We start from the raw sequence: 20,622 nt of genomic DNA, 5'->3' as shown, positions 1-20,622 counted from the left end.
ATAATATATTATATATATATATATATATATAAAATATATATATATATTTAGAGACAGAGCCTCTGTCTGTTGCCCAGGCTGGAGTGCAGTCGTGTGATCTTGACTCCCTGCAACCTCCACCTCCTGGGTTCAAGCGATTCTCCTGCCTCAGCCACCCAAGTAGCTGGGATTACAGGAGTGTGCCACCACACCCAGCTAATTTTTGCATTTTTAGTGGAGATGGGGTTTTGCCATGTTTCTCAGGCTAGTCTTGAGCTCCTGGCCTCAAGTGATCTGCCCACCTCGGCCTTCCATAGTGCTGGGATTACAAGCCTGAGCTGCTGTGCCCAGCCCCATCTCACCTTTAAAAAAAACATTTCAGTCAAAGTAGCCATTCCATCAGGGATTAGACTTAGTTTGCTCATAAAATAAACTTGTTTTTTTTTTTTAAGGTAGATTAATTTTGAGAAATATATCCTCACCACTTCATCGCTACCTTAATGTCTTTCTTCCTGCAGTGGTACCGTAAGAGGAGACATGTTGGAAACATCTCTCCTTCTACTCAGCCTCACGCCCTGAAAAATTTCTTCCTGTACTTATTTCTTCAGATTGTCAGCAGTGTTTTCTACTTGTCATCCAATAGTACTTCCTGACAAAAAGATGCGTCAGGGTCTTTTTCCCCCTAAATTGTTTCACCAGTATTTCATCCACATTTCCATGGTATGAAGAAGAAGTAATTTTTAAATGGTATGTTACTTTTTGTCTTTTGCTATTAAGTGAGAAAACTTTTGAAAGGTTTATAAACATTTATGACTATATTTAGTGAGCATTGCTTAACAAGTATTGGAGTTAGTATCTTATGATGTTAAGTATTGCTGAACACATGGTGGAGGTTCGTCTTATCTTCCGGATCTGTAGCTTCTGCTAATTGTGATGGCTTCACACTTTTCATTGTGTGTATCTGAAGAGTGAGATTCATCATTAACCATGGCGAACACAGATACCTACTTTAAAAAATCTTTGTGATAGTTTCAAATTTTTTGGCTGACTTATTGGTAAAACTTAATGTTTTTTCCTGGCTCATGAACAGCTTGCACCAGGAACAGAAGTATCAACTAGTGTTGTCATTTTTGCTTGCATTACAGGCTGAATATCTCCTCTCTGAAATCTTGGGACCAGAAGTGTTTTGGATTTTGGATTTTTTTAGATTTTGGAATATTTGCATTGTATACTTACTAGGTAAGCATCCTTAACTGAAAGTCTGAAATCTGAAATGCTCCCATGGACATTTCCTTTGGGCCTTATGTTGGCACTCAAAAAGTTTCGGATTTTGGAGCATTTCAGATTTTGGCTTTTCGATTTGGGATGTTCAACCTGTATTACAATTATCCTTGGTCTGCTGTTTCTTTGCAAGAATCTTTTTGTTTTTGTTTTTGTTTTTGAGATGGAGTCTCGCTCTGTTTCCCGGGCTGGAGTGCGGTGGTGTGGTCTCGGCTCGCTGCAAGCTCCGCTTCCCGGGTTACGCAATTCTCCTGTCTCAGCCTCCCAAGTAGCTGGGACTACAGGTGTGTGCCACCACACCCAGCTAATTTTTTTTGTATTTTTTTTTTTAATAGAGATGGGGTTTCACCGTGTTAGCCAGGATGGTCTTGATCTCCTGACCTCATAATCTGCCCACCTCGGCCTCCCAAAGTGCTGGGATTACAGGCGTGAGCCACCAAGAATCTTTTTAAGCTACTTGTCCAGTGGCTCGGTTTAGTAAAAACTACCTAATAGGTAAGCCCTTGTGTCTGGGCACATACCTAGGAACTGCAGTACATCTCAATATGCTGAAATCAACTAAACACCCCTCCCACGTTATCTAACTCCTACACCCCTGCCACCTCCCACCACAGCTTGTGTACTGTACCTGACATAGGACCTTCTGATTTGCAAGTGGAGGGAGGGGCTGATGTCAATCTAAATTTTAACTTTTAGCAAAATGCAATTTCTTGTCTTTTAAAGATGAAAAGTAAATATTAATAGAGGTTCTAATGTCTTCTTCCCAAACCCCAGTGGGTTAGGTTCACTGGTCACTGCACTTAGCAGCTCTGCTTGAGCTACAGGGTCATGAACTCCATCAGTCCCTCCTTTGTTGTGTGTGGTGACTGTATCTGTGTGTGTAGCCTCTTGCTGGTACTGGCCTCCCCAGGATTTCTTCATCTTTCTGGTCCCCCTGTGTCCCAATACAAGCCTCTTTGTCTTCTGTCTGAATGCTCTGGTTGGGGCTGTTATTTTGCCCACAGTATTTGGGTGGAATAACTTCTTTAAGTTATTCTTTTAAGAACAGAGTGCCTTTAAGACCCCTGTCACCTAGGAAACAACAGACCCCTTTCTTTTGGGTCTTTCCCTTTCAGACTTCCCCTGGCTGCCAGGATCTATCTCTGAGTATATCGAAGGATTTCCAAGACTAGATTAAAAACTAGAAATACTTTTTAAGTCCCCTACTCTTCCCCTTCCCATTTTCTGCCTCTTCCCATCACCAGTTGCAACTGTTTTTTTATTTTATTTTATTTATTTATTTTTGAGACAGAGTTTCGCTCTTGTTGCCCAGGCTGGAGTGCAATGGTGTGATCTCAGCTCACTACAACCTCCGCCTCCTGGGTTCAAGTGATTCTCCTGCCTCAGCCTCCTGAGTAGCTGGGATTACAGGCATGCATCACCATGCCAGGCTAATTTTGTATTTTTAGTAGAGATGGGGTTTCTTCATGTTGGTCAGGCTGGTCTTGAGCTCCTGACCTCGGGTGATCTGCCTGCCTCAGCCTCCCAAAGTGCTGGGATTACAGGCGTGAACCACCCTGCCTGGTCTGTTTTTCATTTTAATATTGAGGCTTATGATAACAGACCATATCATTGCCAATGAAAAAGATATCTGAAGGAAAACCTGTAGTATTTTATTGCTTTGATTATTATGTGTCCCGTGAATGTCTTATTTATCCTTTTAGTCTTAAAACAGTATGTTTGAAAAGTACACTTTCAAAGCAAATTGTTGTTTCAATGATGAGTCAGATCCCAAAGAGTTCACTACTATAAATGGCAAACATTTGGTTTATCACCGAGAAATAATCTCTTCAGGATTGAAATACAAAAGTGTTTGTTATTTCCTCCCAAGCTTAGAGATAAAGAATACTATATTATTCTGAAGATCTGGGTTGGGATACTGTAGATGTTGACCATGTAGAATGGATACACTGCTATAAGTCCTAAGTACTTGCTGTTCCTCAAATCTAGGGGTAAGATAAGATAGCAAGTCCTACTCCCTGTAGGTATACTTAATGTAAGAACCAGAGGACGGTAGAGATTAGTTATCTGTGTGGCCATCCTCCATACTCCAGGCCATCCTCCAGGCCATCCTCCATACTTCCATGATTATCTTCATAAAACATAACTCTGCCCAAGCCACCTACCTGCTTAACAGCTTTTGATGGTTCTCTATTGCCCAAGGAATAAAGTCCAAACCCTTAGCTTGCAGATAGGGCCCTTTCCAGCCTGGTTATAACCTTGCGTTATCTCTCTCTCTCTCTCCCCCCATCCCCATTTCTCCCCACCCTCCTCCATGTGCGCGCACGCACACGCAAACACACACACACACACACACACACACACACACACACACACACACACACTTTATACCCTTCAGACCAATAATGCTAGGTACCAACAATGTGGGGTAAGAACTAGATTTAAACAATTGAATATGATAATTAGTCTATAACAAGGAAAGTGTGTTAACAGATAGTGGATGATTCGGGAATGGAAGAGTCAGTGAACCACCAAAATATTCTAGAAAGTGAGTATTCACCTTTATTGGCACGTGGATCACCTGGGGATCTTGATACAATGCAGATAGTGATTCAGTAGGTCTGAGGTGTCTAGGGTGGGGCCTGAAATTCTGCATTTCTGACAAATCCTGGGTGCTGCTGCTGCTGCTTGTTGTTTGCTGCCCACTTTGAGTAACAAGATTCTAGGGTGCACTGTCCAATGTGGAAGCCCTAGTCACATGGGACAATTTAAACTTAAATTGATTAAAATTAAATAAAATTTAAAACTTACTTCCTTGGTAAGCAGTTAAGATGGTAGCCACATCTTAACTGCTACATAGGCTCATTTGGCTAGTGCCTACCATATTGAATAGTGCTCTATTTCTGTCATCACAGAAAGTCCTATTGGACAGCACTGTTTTCTAGAGCACTATTTTTCAAACTGTTTTCTACAGACTACCTCTTAAATCAGAATCTCTGGGGATGGGGGTTGGAAATTTGCATTTTACATAAACACCCCAGGGTGCCTTCTGCATGTTAAAATTAGAGGAACACTTCTATAGGGGATCTAAAATCTGCTATCCAGAGGTAAATTTAATGTGAGAATAGGCAAATATCACAGACAGACATGGGGCAGCTCAGCTTAAATTGGAATACTCTCTTGCCAGCCATGAGAATCATATCCAGTTGTCTACAGGTGCAGCAGATTTTGTCTGGCAGAGATGACTTCTGACACCAAAGCTACACAGGCAGCCTGGGCAACATAGATCTTGTCTCTACAAATTAAAAAAATTAGTTGGGCATGATGGCACGTGCCTATAGTCCCAGCTACTCAGGATGCTGAGGTGGGAGGATCACTTGAGCCCAGGAGGTTGAGGCTACAGTGAACCAAGATTGTATCACTGCACTCCAGCCTGGGCATCAGAGTGAGACCCCATCTCAAAAAAAAAAAAAATGGCTACATAGGGTGGAGGAAGTATAGTCCTCAAGCCAGTGGCTTTCTGCAGGTGTGCAGCTGGTCCCAGGTATGTTCTCTGGTCTCATATGCCTTCTTGTCCTCCAAGTGCTAACATCTGGTGAGGACCACAGCCTACATCTGGTTTCAAGGATGACTCCCAGTCCTGGAAGGTACAATCAACTTATTCTTTTTCAGATCAATTGGATCTGCCTTTCCTGCCCAGGAACATATCTAGGGAAAATCTTTTCATTTTTTTGTCACATTTCAGATATAAAAAGAAGTTCCATTTTCAGGGATCAAAAAGTTCAGCCCAATCTTAAATCAAAATTTCATTTTCTTATCCAGTTTTATGCTTGTTTCTTTCTTCTATGTCCCCCTCCTCTCCCAGCTCAGACGTAGTCTTGGTGTAGAATTTCATTTTCCTTGCTCCACAACCTGTCTAATGGCTTTGAAGGTTCTGACAGTCAAGGAGAAAGGCAAAGCCACCTCGAATCAGTGCTAGTATAACCTGGCCATCAGTGCCTTCTGTGTGTCAAATGCCCAGTGGATTTTCTTAGATTTCCTTTGTGGTTTTTATGGAGAACCTCTGCTGGCACTGTGTGTATTGTACCATTCTCTAGCTTACTTCTGACAGTCTCCGCTCAGATCCTGCCCTGCAGAAGCACACTCCTGAAGTTCCCTAGCCCAGTGGCAGCCTTCTTGACCAAGTCCTTTCAGGATGACTTGAGTCTATTAATAGTTCCACTTGAGGTGACTACTCGACTAAATAGGTAATTGGCTGCACGCCAGACTGGAAGTGTCACCTGCTCCCATGCTACTCTTGAGGGCTGCTCCAGACAGTCCACAACTGTCAGAGTTCTGCTACTTCCCCAAGTGCTGGAAGTCACGTGTCACATTCTCCCAGGAACTGCTGTTCCTCTCCTCCCAGAGCTAACAGTAGCACCAGGGTGTCTGATTCTGCCAGGAGGTAGATTCCTCTTTTGGCAAACACTTCCATACTCTGAAGCAGCCTTTACTTGGCTTGGAGTGATGGCAGGGAATCGTGGGGAGGGGAAGGAAAATGTCACAGCACCCTTACACTTATAAGTCCTCTTTCTTCAAAGAGTCTGCTTAATCTCTTTTTTTCTAATACAACCTGGAGAAGGATGGTGGCGGCGACTAAAGAGCCATTCTGGCTCTCTGTTGGTAAATCCTGCGTGGATGTGCATGTTGGACACCCCTTGTCCTGTACCTACATCCTTTCAGACCACTTTTTTCCCTCCAGCCATTGGGTACAGCAGACTGGCTGCATACAGGTGAAGCCAGACAGCAGTTCTCCTCACCTGCATGATTTTCAGCCCTGGAATGTCACATCTGAGTGAGACCCTTGCAAGGACCTTCTCAGTCATTCTGGTGCATGTACAAACCTGGAAGTGTGTTGTAGTTAACACCTCAAGGGGTAATGAATGCTTGGCCAGTGTGGATTAGAAGCCAGTGGATAAATTATCTTGTCTTCCAACCCTTTGGCAGACAATTCCGAGGTGTATTCTCCATCATTCCTGAGAGGATTGTTAGGCTAGTAGCAGCAAACTTCTGTGCCCATGGTGGGAACCAGGTGGATAATTCACCCTCAAATTGGCCTTCCTTCTGTTTCCGTCTTCCCAGTCCCCACTCCTGTTTTTTGGGGATCATTTCCCAAAATATACTTTCTGCATGCAATTCCTTGTCCCAGGCACTGCTTTTTTGGGGACCCAGTCTAAAACAACATGTTCATTACCTCTCTTTAGAATATGGTGATACTTGTCATTTATTGTCCTTGCTTTGTGGAAAATTCTAGACCAAAGGAGAAGTCCCATCTAACATCCTTCTGTACATCATTACTGGAAATGAAGAGCTGACAGTCATAGACTGATTGCCAAGCAGAACCCCACACTGCTTAACAGCTCGCACAGCATTCCTGTTGATGTGAGTTCTTGTTCTTGTTCTGGTTTTTGAATGGGGGGTAATTTGAGGTGGACAGATAAACCTTGATTTAGATGTTGAAGAGGGTCTCTAAGAGCAGGAGGTAAATTGGAGTCTATAGTCTAAGATTGCTTTGTATATCAGTTATGGTTCTTTGCTTCAAGCAAAGACTAAAGTAAGAAAAAAGCGAGCTATTGGAAGGAGGACTAGATGCTGTGGCATGCCTCCCAATTCCTCATTAGGACTGAGGTATGCTCTCCTCCAGCTCCCAGGATGTTGGCGGCAGGTAGCTCTGAGCTGAGGCCTCCCCTGCAATTGTCCTTGGCTAAGGAGGGCCACCTTGCCCAAGGTTACAGCCCCTTCTTGATGGCAGCCTATACCCAATACCTGGTCATTTTGGAGGTGCAAAGCCTTCGTTGCTTCAAGGCAGGACACCTCTGAAGGGCCATCCTAGCTCCAGCTCCCCAGGAATTGGCTGAGGCCTATGTGCAGTGCACAGTTTCATTTCAGGTCCTAGTCTCTGCTCAATCCTGCTTCCTTTCCTCCCTCACAGGTGTTGTTGCTGAGAGCACTTTCCAGTAATCTTTCTGCACACAAATCACCAGCTCAATCTGTTTCCTGGGGAACTTGAACTACAACAGAATGATACTGGGGAGTTTGCAAAATCAAACTAAACATAGGCAGCAGGAAGGACACAAAGCAGGGGAGCCCCAGAAATCTTAGTGGTAGAAACTTTTAAACCTCTTAGGGTACCACCAGGGTATCTCTGCTCAATATTTAAATCCCTGGAAGGGAGCCTCTGATTGGCCTTGTTTGGGTTGGGAATCAGGGCCCTGTGATTAGAACTACCTGGGGTAGTGGAGAGGAAAGAGAAGCAACCTGTGTCTTCCAGACCATGGTATCTGAAGTTTTCTTGGAGGAAGTCAAATAAATATGTGGGTTGAGGATGGGAGCTCTAAGCAGAGGATGTGGTGGCTCATTTAAGATCACACATTGACAAAGAGCAGAGTGGTGTCAAGATTCTGGGACAGAGGCAAGTTAGAAATAAAACTCTTGTTTTTCCCAAGGTCCATCATACAACTGAAATGGAAGACTATGGCTTGCTGACCAATTCTTGCTCATTTGGGGTTACTTTATATAGGGGGATAAGTGTCCCTTCAGGTGGACTGAGAGTCACCAGAAGATTTAGTGGAAGGACCCTGCCTCTGGGGATGCATATGTAGCTGGTACTAATGAGTACTTTCTATGTATCAGAAAGCCACCAAATATCACTCTTCCTCCCCTGAGTTCAGAACCACCTGACAGACACAGGGGTCATATGGGGCTAGGTCGAAAGATCAGCTTGATTAATAATGGATTGGTGGATGTAGCCTGGGTATACAGCTTCCTAGTACTAGACTCCTACATCAGAGACATCCATTCTCCAACCATTCACGAGAAGAACTGGCCAGACACCGTAGGCTTTCTCATTAGGGCAGGAGCTCAGCACATGGCATGTCCACACTGAAAGAATGAGAGGAAAAAATGAATGGAAAATACAGGTGGTATTGAAGAAAGAGCACTCTTCCTGTGGGGGGTCAGATCCAAAATAAAGAAACCAGATGGGGCTGAATCTAACATGCTCTGCTCCTTCTGTGTAACTCACCACCCAGAGTGAGGAGGAGTGAGGGGAGGAGGAGTGAAAGGACAGGTGTGTCGCTCTGGCCAAAGTCCTTCCATGTGCTCACATGGAGCTGGGGAAGAGGAAGTGTGGAACAACTACTTTCCATATATTTACATATATTAGCATATCTAGTTTCACAACACTATGAAGTATCACTGTCCTGATTTTATAGAAGATGAAACTGAGGCCAAGGCCATCTTCCAAGGATGTGCTGGCTTGGGATTTGAACCAAGGAACTAAGTGTCCTCTGATCTGAAAGCCCATGTTCTTTTCAGTGCCCTTTACCTGCTCCTCATTTGGAGTGCAGGGGAAGGGGAGGACTCCTGGCTCTCTTCTCCAGCCCTCACAGGGGTCCTGAAGCTTCCAGCTCACGTTGGGCCTGGTTGCTTGAGTTACCTCATGTACCTGAGTCTACAAAGGCTTCTATGGGAATGTGACAGATTTGAAGGGGCAGTCACTGGGCCCGTACCAGGAAGGCTGGGAATAGGGCTCCTTTCCTGTGGTGCTTAGCGTTGGTCTCCCCTGCAGGACCTATACCCGCTTGCTAGACCAGGCCGTCCTCACATGGCCAAAGAGGCTGCCACAAAGGCCTCACCTTGCCTCCCACCAGGACACCCTGGGCCAGGGCAAGAGCAGCTGCTTTAGCTCAGCCCTTCAGGTCAGGTCTGCAGTAATCAGCTCCTTCCAAGGAAGGCTGGGCCCAATGGGGTCTCTGTTAGCTTAGGCATGCCCTTTAGGCTTAATTCTCTCTGGTTATGAAGCCCCAAGACTCAACCCATCCCCAGCTGGCTAGTCTATTCTGTTGGACTCTGACATTTTCCCCAAACCTGGCTTTTCTCTTGGTTTCCTTACAAGCCTTTGTGTCTTCACCAAGTTGTTACATTTCTTGCTTTTTCAGTCTCTGCAGATGTTCCAACCACTACACATCCCCCTTCTCCCCCTCCATACCCATCTTCCTCTTCCTGTCTCCCTTTATCCTTCTGTCTCTTCTTCCTCCTCTCTTCTTATTGCTCATCCCTGACCTCCGCCTCGACCTTCCCCTCTTTTCCTCTCTAATCCTTCCCCTTGAACCCCAGGGATATAGGCCTGTCTGCAGAGGAAAGATCTTTGTCATGTGATTACTAAACCCCCAACATGTTATTTGGTAGAAGGCAGCACAATAGGAGTTTTCTTCTAGGGGCAAAGGGGCTATAAAAGATTTCCAAATATCATAGAAAATCACCTGAGGATGCTGAGCTCAGGGCAGCTGCAGCAGGGGTGAAGGTGGGTCACAGCCCCCAACCGCCATGGAGATGAAAGGTAACAAAAGGAGAGGGGAGAGTTCCATACCTCATTTTATTCTCTTGACAGTTTTGCGCAGAATTACCCCTGTCTGTATTATTATCACTTGTAAAAAAGCATTTTTTTCATACCATTTAATCTATCAGCCTTTTATTAAAGCCTAGATAAAAGTAGGAAAAAAAAATCTCATCAACATCAGCCACCAGAAGGGAAATTTCAGAGACTGAGATGATCAGATTTCCAAGTTTACTGAAAAACCTATAGATAACTGCATGGCTGCTCATGCTATTTTATAAAATAAGTGCAGCCAGGTGAGCCATTTAATAACGTGGGAATTGTCGGCTGTGCGGATAGTGGACAGAGCATGAGCTCACCTCGTAAAGGCGTAGGCTCTCGCGGAAATGAACACTGCGGCACACTGCGGGCCGGCAGCACAGCGTCACTCTGTAGACTGAGCCTCCCAGCTTCTCGGGAGCCGTCCACGGTGCAGCCAGCCACTATGGGACACAGTGCCTAGGTCTTTCCAAGAACAGTAGAGCCCACACTTATCCCCTCCCATGTCAGCCACACTCTGGAGCTCACATTTGGAGTAGTGAAAGGCTTTCAAAGGTATTTAATCTCACCACAATCATGAGATAGGTATGAAAACCCTCTTTTCCAAATGAAGAAATTGACCTCCACAGGAGGGAAGGAACTTTGGTGAATCCACAGAGTGGAGTGGCGGTGCTAGGGTGATTACCTAGGGGTCCAGTTCCAGTTCCTGTTCTCCTTTTGCTCCATTGGGCTTATCCCATCACCAAAAACAGTCTAGAGCCGGAGATGTTAAAGAAGCCACCCTTTGACCTGCAGGGTAAGTGTGTGAGAATTGGTGGGTGGGTGGGGATAGGGGAGTCAGGTTTGGGCAGTAGAACGGAGGAGTAATGTATACTCTAAATAGGTTCATTTCCTGACTCCCCCACTTATCTGTGTGACCCTGTATATGTCACTTAACTTCTCTGTGCCTCTATAAAATGAGGAATGATAATAATATCTACCTCATAGGTTTGTGGTAAAGGTTAAAAGAGATAATGGATCAAGCATTTAATACAGTATAGTAAGTTGGATAAATGGTATAGAGTTGGGCCCACTTTTGGAATCAAAAGGAATTTGTAAAAGTGCCTCACACATGCCTGTCCTGTAGAGGTGAGCAAGTATTTTCAATCCCTTCCTGATATCTTTCCTGTGGCTAAGAATCCTTACAGGCACTTGGGACCCCTGCCTTCCTTGCTGTGGACTAGGATGCCTGTAGGTACCAGGTTAGAAGAGTTGCTTCTTGGAATTGCCATGTGACTGTACAATGTGCTATCTGTGGCCCTGCCATTGATTCACAGTATAACCTTGAGCTGACCTCAGTCTTACCTGGATGGGCCTCTGTTTCCTTAGTTATAAAGGGATAAGGACAGAGCTACGTTTGAGGAAGTGTAGTTTGTGAACTTCTACATCAGAATCAACTCCATTGTTGATGGCTGAAAATGTTGATTCATGGGCCTTGCCCCAAGTTGGCTCAATCACAATCTCTAATGGTGCTCTAGAATGTATATTTGTAAAAAGCCCTCTCCACTTGCCCCATGCCCTGGCCTAACTCTCAGAGATTCTGATATAATTGACCATTAATACATAATGAAAGTAAATAATGGATTAATAAATTAAAAATTGATTTACTTTTTAACTTTGGTTGTTTTTAAGATTTTCCCATTTGTTTTTGTTTTTTAGCAGTTTTACTACATGTGCCTAAATGTGGTTTTCTTTGAACTCCTCTAGGGTTCATAACACTTCTAGAATCTGTGATTTGATACCTTTTGTCAGTGTTGGAAAATTCTCAGTCATCATGTCTGTAAAAATTGTTTCTGACCCATTTGTTGTTTTCCTCTCCAGGACTCCAAGTACATGTATGTTGGACCTGCTTGCCATGTCCCATTATGTCCCATACATGCCCCTCTACTACCACCTGTATTTTCCATTCATTTTTTCCTCTCATTCTTTCAGTGTGGATATTTTCTATTGACCTATCTCTGAATTCACTAATCTTTTTATCAGCTGTGTCTAGTTTGCTATTAAACCCATCTATTTAGTTCTTAGTTTTAATTATTGTATTTTTCAGTTCTAGAATTTTCATTTGATTTTTTAAAATAGATTTTAACTCTTTGCTAAAATTAATTTCTTGGACATATTAATCAGTTATTTTGAAAGTCTTTGTGTGATCATTCCAACATCAGAGTCTCCTTAGAGCTTTTTCTTTCTATGTCTATTTTTTCTCTTGGTTTCTGGCCTTGCACATCTCCCAATATGCTTCATAATTCATTTATTTAAAAAAAGTTTGTTTTTTTTTTTTGAGATGGAGTCTCACTCTGTTGCCCAGGCTGGAGTGCAGTGGCGTGATCTCTTGGCTCACTGCAACCTCCACCTCCTGCATTCAAGCGATTTTCCTGCCTCAGCCTCCCAAGTATCTGGGCCTACAGGCACATGCCACCACTCCTGGCTAATTTTTTTTTTTTTTGTATTTTTAGTAGAGACGGGGTTTCACCACGTTATCCAGGATGGTCTTGATCTCCTGGCCTCGTGATCTGCCCGCCTCGCCTCCCAAACTGCTGGTATTACAGACATGAGCGCCACCACACCTGGTCTTGTTTTTGTAACTTTTTATTGAATGTCAGGCATTGTGTATGAAAAACTGAAGAGAGAATTTGAGCCTCTGGATGATGCTATTTTCCCCTTAGAGCATTTACTTCTTTCTGCTTTTGGAAGTCAAGATAGGGGCAGATTGTTATAATCCAGTCTGGGATTGAGCAGATTTGAAGCCAGTCTTTAGTTTTTGTGAATACTGGCTTATTTGGGTTAGTCCTTATTCCCAGGCTTCAGGAGTTCCTTCTGAAAGCTTGGGTTGCATACCAGGGCCGCTCCTTTTTGGTGATGGCTGCACTATTTTTGTTTCCCCAGGATGGTGGGGCAGCAAAGCTCTGCTTAGCTTTGTAGACTCCTGGCTGCCAGTTTCTACTTCATTTCTCCTCTTGGCTTCTTCACTGATCAGTTTCTACAAAGCACAACTTCTCAGCTTTTAAGTTTTTCTTAAGAATCAACAAATGCTTTGAGGCAAAAAGCTGTGCCAAATATCAGGTTCAGTTCTGTGCTTTCTTTCTCTCTGAGATCTTGGTGCCGTAAGACCTCACCACATTTGATAGCTCTCTGATGCGTTCAAACAGGGCATTTCTATTTGTTCTTGGTAGTAGAGTTGATCTGAATATATTAGCCTATCAAAGGCAGAAATGGAACTCCCTGATAGTGGTTTTTAATCTCTTTGGGTGATTTGAATGTAAGATGCACTGGACAAAATCAACTCCTTGCCACATCATAAGAACCACCTTAGTCTGTTGTTTAAAAATGTTGATTTTTCTGGTCCTATCCTAGATGTACTGAACCAGAATTTCCAGAAAAAAAAGACTGATTTGTTGTGCTAGCAAGTGCTTCTGACAAAGGCACACTTGAGAAGCACTGAATAAGTGGCTCTTTAGAGTCCTTCTTGCTCTGGTTGCATATTCTGGTGACCCTAGTGACCCCACCCACCCAATGAACCCTGTATATATAGTGGCAGGAAGGAGCCTGGTTATTCTGATATGCAGAGGGGCAGCATGCTGCCTTTACCACCACCTTCGACTTTAGTTTGCATTCTGTAACTCTCTCCAAAGAGAGAGTGGTAGCTCTCTTTGCTGAATTATTTCTAATTTTTTCCATGGACATTTTAATCAGAGATGACAAATGACTGGTCTTTTGCTAGCAGTTCAATCTAAGAGGAAGTTATTTGCCTCTTAGAGGTACATTAATTTGCGATGGCTTTCATGCAGAAGGCAGAGGGATATTGTGGAAAGGGACTTGGATTCTGGGAATCAGGTATAAGCCCAGGGTACTTGGCTTGGGAATTGTAGTAGTCACTTGCCCCTTCCCTTCCTCCCTCCACTAATGTAAGTTTCCTTTGCCTGCTTGAGGGTATCTCCAAATTAGGTTCTTTTCCAGCTGCCAGTGGTAGGACTAGAGTGCAGTTCTGACCCTGGTCTCTGGAACCCTTTCTCACCCCTGCTGGCTCCTCTCCAGTGGATTCCCCACTGTCCTGCACCAACTCCCTCCCCTTCGTCTCTCACCCACCTCCTTTTCTCCTTTTCTTCTCTTGTCCTTCCCTTCTCTTCTCCTCACCTCCACCCCAATCTTCTTTCCCCCGTTCCAGAATCAGAACAGAGGCAGTAGTGTCCTGTTGTGGACCCTCCCTCAACTGCTTCAGCCTTCTCCAGGACCAGCTGTCAGCAGAAGTGGAGCTCATGCAGGAGGGCAAAATGGTCCAATTCCTTTTCTCAGGGCTATCTAGCAAGACCAGTTCCTGTGGTTCTCTCTGGCTCATGTGAGGATGCTTCCCACTTTGGAGGTCTATGGTTGTCCTAGTCCGTGGCTACCCAGTAAGTGCTACTCAAATCAGTAGGAAAACAATGAAGTGTGCCCAGTGGTAAAGGGGCAAAGGACATAAACAGGTAATTCACACAAGAGGAGACACAGATAGCCACAAATATAAGAACTATTTAATTTCACATTTCATCAAAGAAATGCAAGCTGAAACCATGTGAGTAGTAAAAAATAATCAAACCAGTTAAGTTTGGGCTATGATGCAGGGAAATGGACACTCATACTGCTGGGAGAGTGTATGTTTTTTAGTCTTTCTGGAGAGAAAGTTGGCAGAATATAACAAAAATCTTATAATTTTCTATGACTTTTGACCCTGTCATTCTACTTTCAGGAATTCATCCCAGTGAAATAATGTATGCGATTTGCAAAAGTTCTATACAAGTATATTCAGCATGAGGCTGTTTTATTGTAATAGTGATGACTGCTGCTACCCAGTGAAATACAACCATACAATAATAAGGGGTTGCTACATTCATGCCAGTTGTACACTCTGTTGTCATTAAAAACATCATACACAAATATTTAAAGAGGAAGAATGTCCAAGCTCTTTTTTAAAAAAATAAAATAAAAGCAGTGTATCACAATAATTGTATTTTGGTGGGGAGGAACCAGCATAGAAAAAAGATCAATGGATGCAAAATGTTACCATGTCTGTCTTGTGTGTTTTATCATACACAAAAATCTAAGTAATATGATTATTAAAAAAGAGAAGAAGAAAACAAAAATACTGATTCCTAGCATGTAGGAAGACTGGCCTGCATTCTAGTCCTGAATTTGCCTCTTGTTCTCTGTGAGGCTTTGGACGGGTCACCTTGGCTCTTTTGATGGGCAGTTTCCTCATCTATAAAGCAGATCTGGCCACGCGTAGCAGCATTCATGTCTGTTCAGTGCTTTACCAGTCCCTTTGCTAACCATTGTTTTACTTTGATCTCACATCTGTGCCTTGTAGATCAGCACTTTGTGGGCTGTTGGCTATTTTACTATCACTTGATAATTCGGTATCTCCAAATTAGGTTCTTTTTCCAGCTACCAGTGGTAGGACTAGAGTGCAGTTCTGACCCTCGTCTCTGGAACCCTTTCTCACCCCTGCTGGCTCCTCTCCAATGGAGAAACTAACCTTATTTTCATGTACTGTGATACAAAGAAAAGCTTCTTAAGGGTTATTGGAAGGCAAGCATTTGAAGGAACTAGAGTAGCCTGGCTAATGACCTGGTGCAGTGGCTGAGTTACAGCTGGTCTGGAGGGCAGATGATCCACAAGGTTGGGTCTGGGGTCAGTTAGTAGTTGAGGATGGGGAGGTTGGGAGCAGGTCAAGGCGGGACCGGAACAGGCCTAGGAGAAGTGTTGAAAAAGCCAGAAAACAGTGATTGAGAGAACTGCTCCAGGTTGAGGGGATGCTCTAGGAGTGGTAGCTTTGCTGGAGGTTCAGCTCAGGGTCCTGGAGGTCAGATACCAGGACTTGGAGGCCTCAAGAAAAGAGTGGGGAGCCAGCCCAGCAGGGCTTAGCTGGGCAAAGGAGAGACGTTTTTAAGGTTGTGAGCAGGCATGACAGGCACTACTGGAGAGCCCAGAAACAAGGATTAGGCACGTGCAGGCTTACGTGCAAATTGCAAGTCTGCATTTCTGTAAAACCGACAACAATGGAAAATGTGTAATAGATGGACCAATCTAAAGATAGTCTGGAAAAATGACCTCACTTAAGGAAAAATCGAGCAGTTAACTTCCTGCTCACTAGCAGGTCGAAGCCTAATCTTTAAAACTGATGTCCTTATCTCAGAGCTCCCTAGGTGATAATATTAGCCCTCACTGACATGGTCTATCTTCTCCGTAAATACCTTTCCCTCTAACAACAACAATAAAAATGTAGCTTTCTAGCCCACGGGGCTGTTTTTTGTTTCCTAATATGCCCTGAACTGAACTCCTTGGTTTATGGAAGAAGCTCAATGTGAAACTGCAGATCGACTCTTTTATCACAATCCTTTTAATTACTCCACGTACCCAATTTTGTTATCCAATTATGGGTAAGATTAAAGTTCATCAAACTACATGTTTTATGTGAAGTTCCTTCATTTCCAAAAGATCAGTGGAACATTAAAGAACAAATGAAACAGTCAGTTGCAGATTATACAGGTTGATTTATCATTGATCTTCCATAAACAGCAAAAACTAGTTCTGATATTTTCCCCAGCATAATAGGCCTATGTATACAGTACACTGTATATCTTTTCATTTCAGCCTTGAAAAAAATATGATATATCCCTAGTGGGAGTCATAATTTCGCTGAATGTATAGTGCTTAAGGCTCCACAGCGCCCAGCCAGTTTGTTACAGCAGATGGATGAGAGCCCACTGTTTCATGAAATTGCTTTTGAATATTTGCAGGATGACCTTTTCCCACACTATCCCACCAAAATGCATTAACTCCTTCTGCACAAGATGGAAAAATGCTATGCCGAACCACGCTCCTGCAAGGTGAAACGTGACAGCCTTTAATATAAAACCTTTCCTGACATGTTCCCTGCTGTCAGAAACAATCTCTGTTTCCCAGAAGTTCCCTTTCAGAGAGAGGAAAGTGGAAGGAGCAGACAACTCCTGGGTGACATTTACCAAGGTCACGCAGCTGGTGTTGGGTGGTGCCAGGATTATAATTCAGGTCTGGCTATCTCCAAAGTGTTTGCTTCTTCCATGCCCCTGGAACACATTGTTTATGCCTGTATTGTAGCCTTTATCCTCTTGTTCCATTTTATTTGAGCAATTTGAGCCAATTTTCCTTCCATCATAACGTGGGCTTATGGTTTTATGCCTGTTCCTCTTTGCCACCACTTCAAGTGTACCTTGCATTTAGTAGCTACTTGGTGTATCAATCAGGGTTCAATCAGAGAAGCAGAACCACTGGGAGGTCCTGCGTGTATTAATATATATTAGGTTTTGTTATAGGATTTGTTAGAGGAATTTGGCTTTTGCATCTTGTGCTAGAGCTTGAAGTCCACATACCAGGTTGTTGGGTAGAGAAGATGGATGTGAAGCAGAGGAGAGCGAGAGCATGCTGGAACCCCCAAGCACAAGTTGGAGACCATGGGATGGACTGGGCCCCGGGTTGCTTCTTTTGCCTCTGACCTTGATGGTATAGGTGTTCTACAAAAGCCAGGGCCCCTCATCCTGCAGCCAAGCGTATATTCCTGGCCTGGGAGTTGGAGAAGCTGAAGCATGATGCAGGGGAAGATGGAGCAGTTGCAGGCCTGGCTGCGAGTGAGATCAGTGGCAGCGTGTGGAAGCAAAAGGCTGCTGCTTCTCTTCTCTCCAAATCTCCCTTAAGGATCTCCCTTGGGACCTGCCCCAATGGGAAACCTACAGGAGAGGGAGTCCTGGGAAATGTAGTTCATCTTAACCAAGTTGTCACATTAGAAAGTCACTGTGCTCCACTTCTGTCAACTTGACACTCACATGGATCACCTTCAACCATACTCTCCAAATAAAGACGAGCAAAGTCATGCTTCTGCACAACATGACACAACCAATGCACATACAGCCAAACATGTGTTCACCCTTTCCCAAGAAGAGGATAGAAAACCCCTTTTTGTCTTGAAGTAACATCTGCTCTTCTCTTGGCTGCTTCACACTCCCCCTTTGATACATGTAACTTAAATCCTGAGATACACGTGCAGTTGCTACTAACCCCATCTATGTAGATGATAAAGGAATGGCAGAGGTGGAAACACATGTGGTTCATATATATGAACATGTATATCAAAATTAGAAAGATGTACTCACAAATATAATCCTTATTTCTGCAACTGGTCACATGGTCATAGCTGGTATTTACAACCACCTTTATTCATTATTCATTCAACATTTCTTTTGCCTTCAGCAAGAATGGCAGGTTGTAGGTCTAGGCCAGGAATCAGAAAACTTTTTTTTAAAGGGTCATATATTAAAATGTAGGCTTTGAGGACCTTTCAGTCTCTGTCACAACTACTCAACTGGGAATAGCTGTGTTACAACAATAACTTTATTTACAAAAACAGGATTTACCAAGCTGGATTTGGCCTGTGGGCTATAGTTCACTGATCACTGGCCACAGCCATGAGCAGTCCTGCCTGAATTGGGTTGTATTGTAGTTTTACATTGACTTTAATCATAGAACAAGGGAGTATTAAAAGGCACCCCAGAGTATTTCCTGAATCCCAGACATGCTCCTTCTTACCCTATTATGTAGGACCAACCCATTTTACCCGTGAGAGTCAGGATCAATCATTCCTGCCAGTGCAGTGACCCCTGTTGCCTGATGACTCAATGACAAGAGGGCCTCAGAGTGGCTGGGTGGCAGACTCAGCATCCAGGTCAGTGGAACCACTGGTGTGTCCTCTGGTGGAAGCATTCTTCTCTGTAGTTGTGAGACCTCTAGACACAGAGCCTAACGTCGTTGGGATGAAACGCGTAACTTTTGTTAGTAGATATCTAAGAATAATAGGGACAGGAGCCACTTTGTCCCTGGTTAGAAGCTGCTGGCCCCTGATGGAAATAGTAGAATTTAGCAGTCTCCATATTTTTATTCAGTTAGCAAACACTTATTAAGTACCTACTGTGATGCCTGGCACTGGCTGGAATGCAATGGTCACCAAGACAAAGATTGTTGCTCTTTTTCTGGAGTTCCCAGTCTAGCAGGGGAGATAGCAGACACAGAGTTACAAATGGATGCTGTGATCGAAAATAACAGAGGGGACCTACTTTAGTTAGGGGGCCATAGAAAGCCTCTCTAGGAAATGACTTTCAAGATGAGACCTGAAAAATAAGAAAAGTAGATTTATGCTAGGACCAGTGGGAAGAGCATCCCAGGCATGGAACAGCTTGATAAAGGCCCTGGTTTTTTCTAATCCAGTTTGATGGAGAAGAGTGAGCCATGGAAAATGTCGCATAAACTTGGAGAGAGAGTCACAGGATGGATTATGCAAGGCTGCAGGGCCAAACGGTTAGGATTTTATGCATTGGGTACATTGGGCAGCCATGGAAAGGTGTTAAGCAGGGAAGTGGCTGCTTTGGTTGCTGGTGGAGAGTGATTGGTAGGAGGGCAGGAGAGGATGTGAGGAGATAAGGCAAGAGGCCCTTCCAGTCATGCCAGTAAGACATGAGGGCACCTTGGGTCAAGTGGTGGTTGTGAAAATAAGTGGGTGGATACTGAAGATATATTTTGAAGGTAGTATTGCTAGTGCTTGCTGATGGTTTGATTGTAGAGGAAAATGAAAAAGGAGGAATCAAGGATGACTCAGATTTTGGGCAGGTGGGTGCTTCTGCTATGTATGTACTAGAGAAGATTGGCAGAAAAAGAGGGTAAAATGAATTTTTTATTGTAGTAAAATATATACAACATAAAATTTATCATCCTAACCATTTTAAAGTGTACAGTTCAGTGACATTCAGTACATTCACATTATTGTACAGTCATCACCATCACCCATCTCCAGAATTTTTCCATCTTTTCCCTCTGAAACTATGTGACCATTAATCAGTAACTCTTCATTCTCTGACCCCCCTCCTGCCCTTGGCAACCACTATGCCATTTTCTGTTTCTATGAATTTGACTACTCAGGACCTTGTATAAGTGGAATCATACACTATTTATCTTTTTGTGATTGACTTATTTCACTTAGCATTATATCTTCAGGGTTCTTCCATGTTATAGCATGTGTCAGAATTTCCTTCCTTTTCAAGGCTGAGTAATATTCCATTATGTGGATATACCACATTTTGTTTATCCACTCATCTCTCAATGAACACTTGGGTTGCTTCCACTTATTGACTATTGTGAATAGTGCTGATATAAACATTGATGTACAAATAAGGGCTCAAGTCTCTGCTTTCATTTTTCAGAAGTGGAATTGCTGGACTATAGGAGAATTCTGTGTTTAATTTTTTGAGAAACCATATTGTTTCCATAGCAACTACACTATTTACATTCCCAGCAACAGTGCACAAGTGTTGCAATTTTTTATACCCTTGACAACATTTATTTTTTATTTTTTAGTAATAGCCATTTTAATGGGTGTGAAATGGTATCTCATTGAGGTTTTGATTTGCATGAAATACAAATTTAAGTTTTGACATGCTGGGCTTGAGATTCTTGTGAGACATCCCAGTGGAGGTGTCAGGCAGACAGTTGGATGTCAGAGGCTGGAGTTCTAAAGAAAGGTAGGGTTAGAGGTTAATGTTTGTGTCACCAGCACATAAGTGATTGTGCAGGGCCTGGAGGAGGCCACTGAGAGAGTTAAAGGAGAGCACCCAGACTGGGTCCTGTGGAAATCAACCAATTAGAGGTTGGGGAGGAGAGGGAGAAGTGGTAACTGCCCAGAGTGGAAAAGCCAGTGCAGTATGGGAAGCGCGAGAGTGGTCCTGTAGAAGCCCAGAGAGGAAGCTGCTTTGAGTAGGATGGAGTGGCCACCTGTGTCAGGGGAGCTACGAGGCCAAGTGAATTCAGGTAGCTTGGGTCATCTAGATGCCGTGCTGGTGCAGAAGGGATTT

General features: G+C 43.6%; 1 long non-coding RNA gene across 1 annotated transcript; it reads left to right on the top strand.

Moving 5' to 3' along the window:
- Window positions 1–286: 286 nt before the first annotated feature.
- On the top strand, window positions 287–16,155 carry LOC124903536 (uncharacterized). Its single transcript, XR_007064730.1, has 2 exons — window positions 287–6,681; window positions 7,232–16,155. It is a non-coding gene; the product is annotated as an uncharacterized LOC124903536 (long non-coding RNA).
- The last annotated feature ends 4,467 nt before the right edge of the window (window positions 16,156–20,622 follow it).

This window comes from Homo sapiens, chromosome 15 (genome assembly GCF_000001405.40).
Source record: "Homo sapiens chromosome 15, GRCh38.p14 Primary Assembly".
Taxonomy (NCBI): Eukaryota; Metazoa; Chordata; class Mammalia; order Primates; family Hominidae; genus Homo; species Homo sapiens.
The sequence above is the reverse complement of the archived record's forward strand: the minus strand, read 5'-3'. Positions and strand labels throughout refer to the sequence as shown.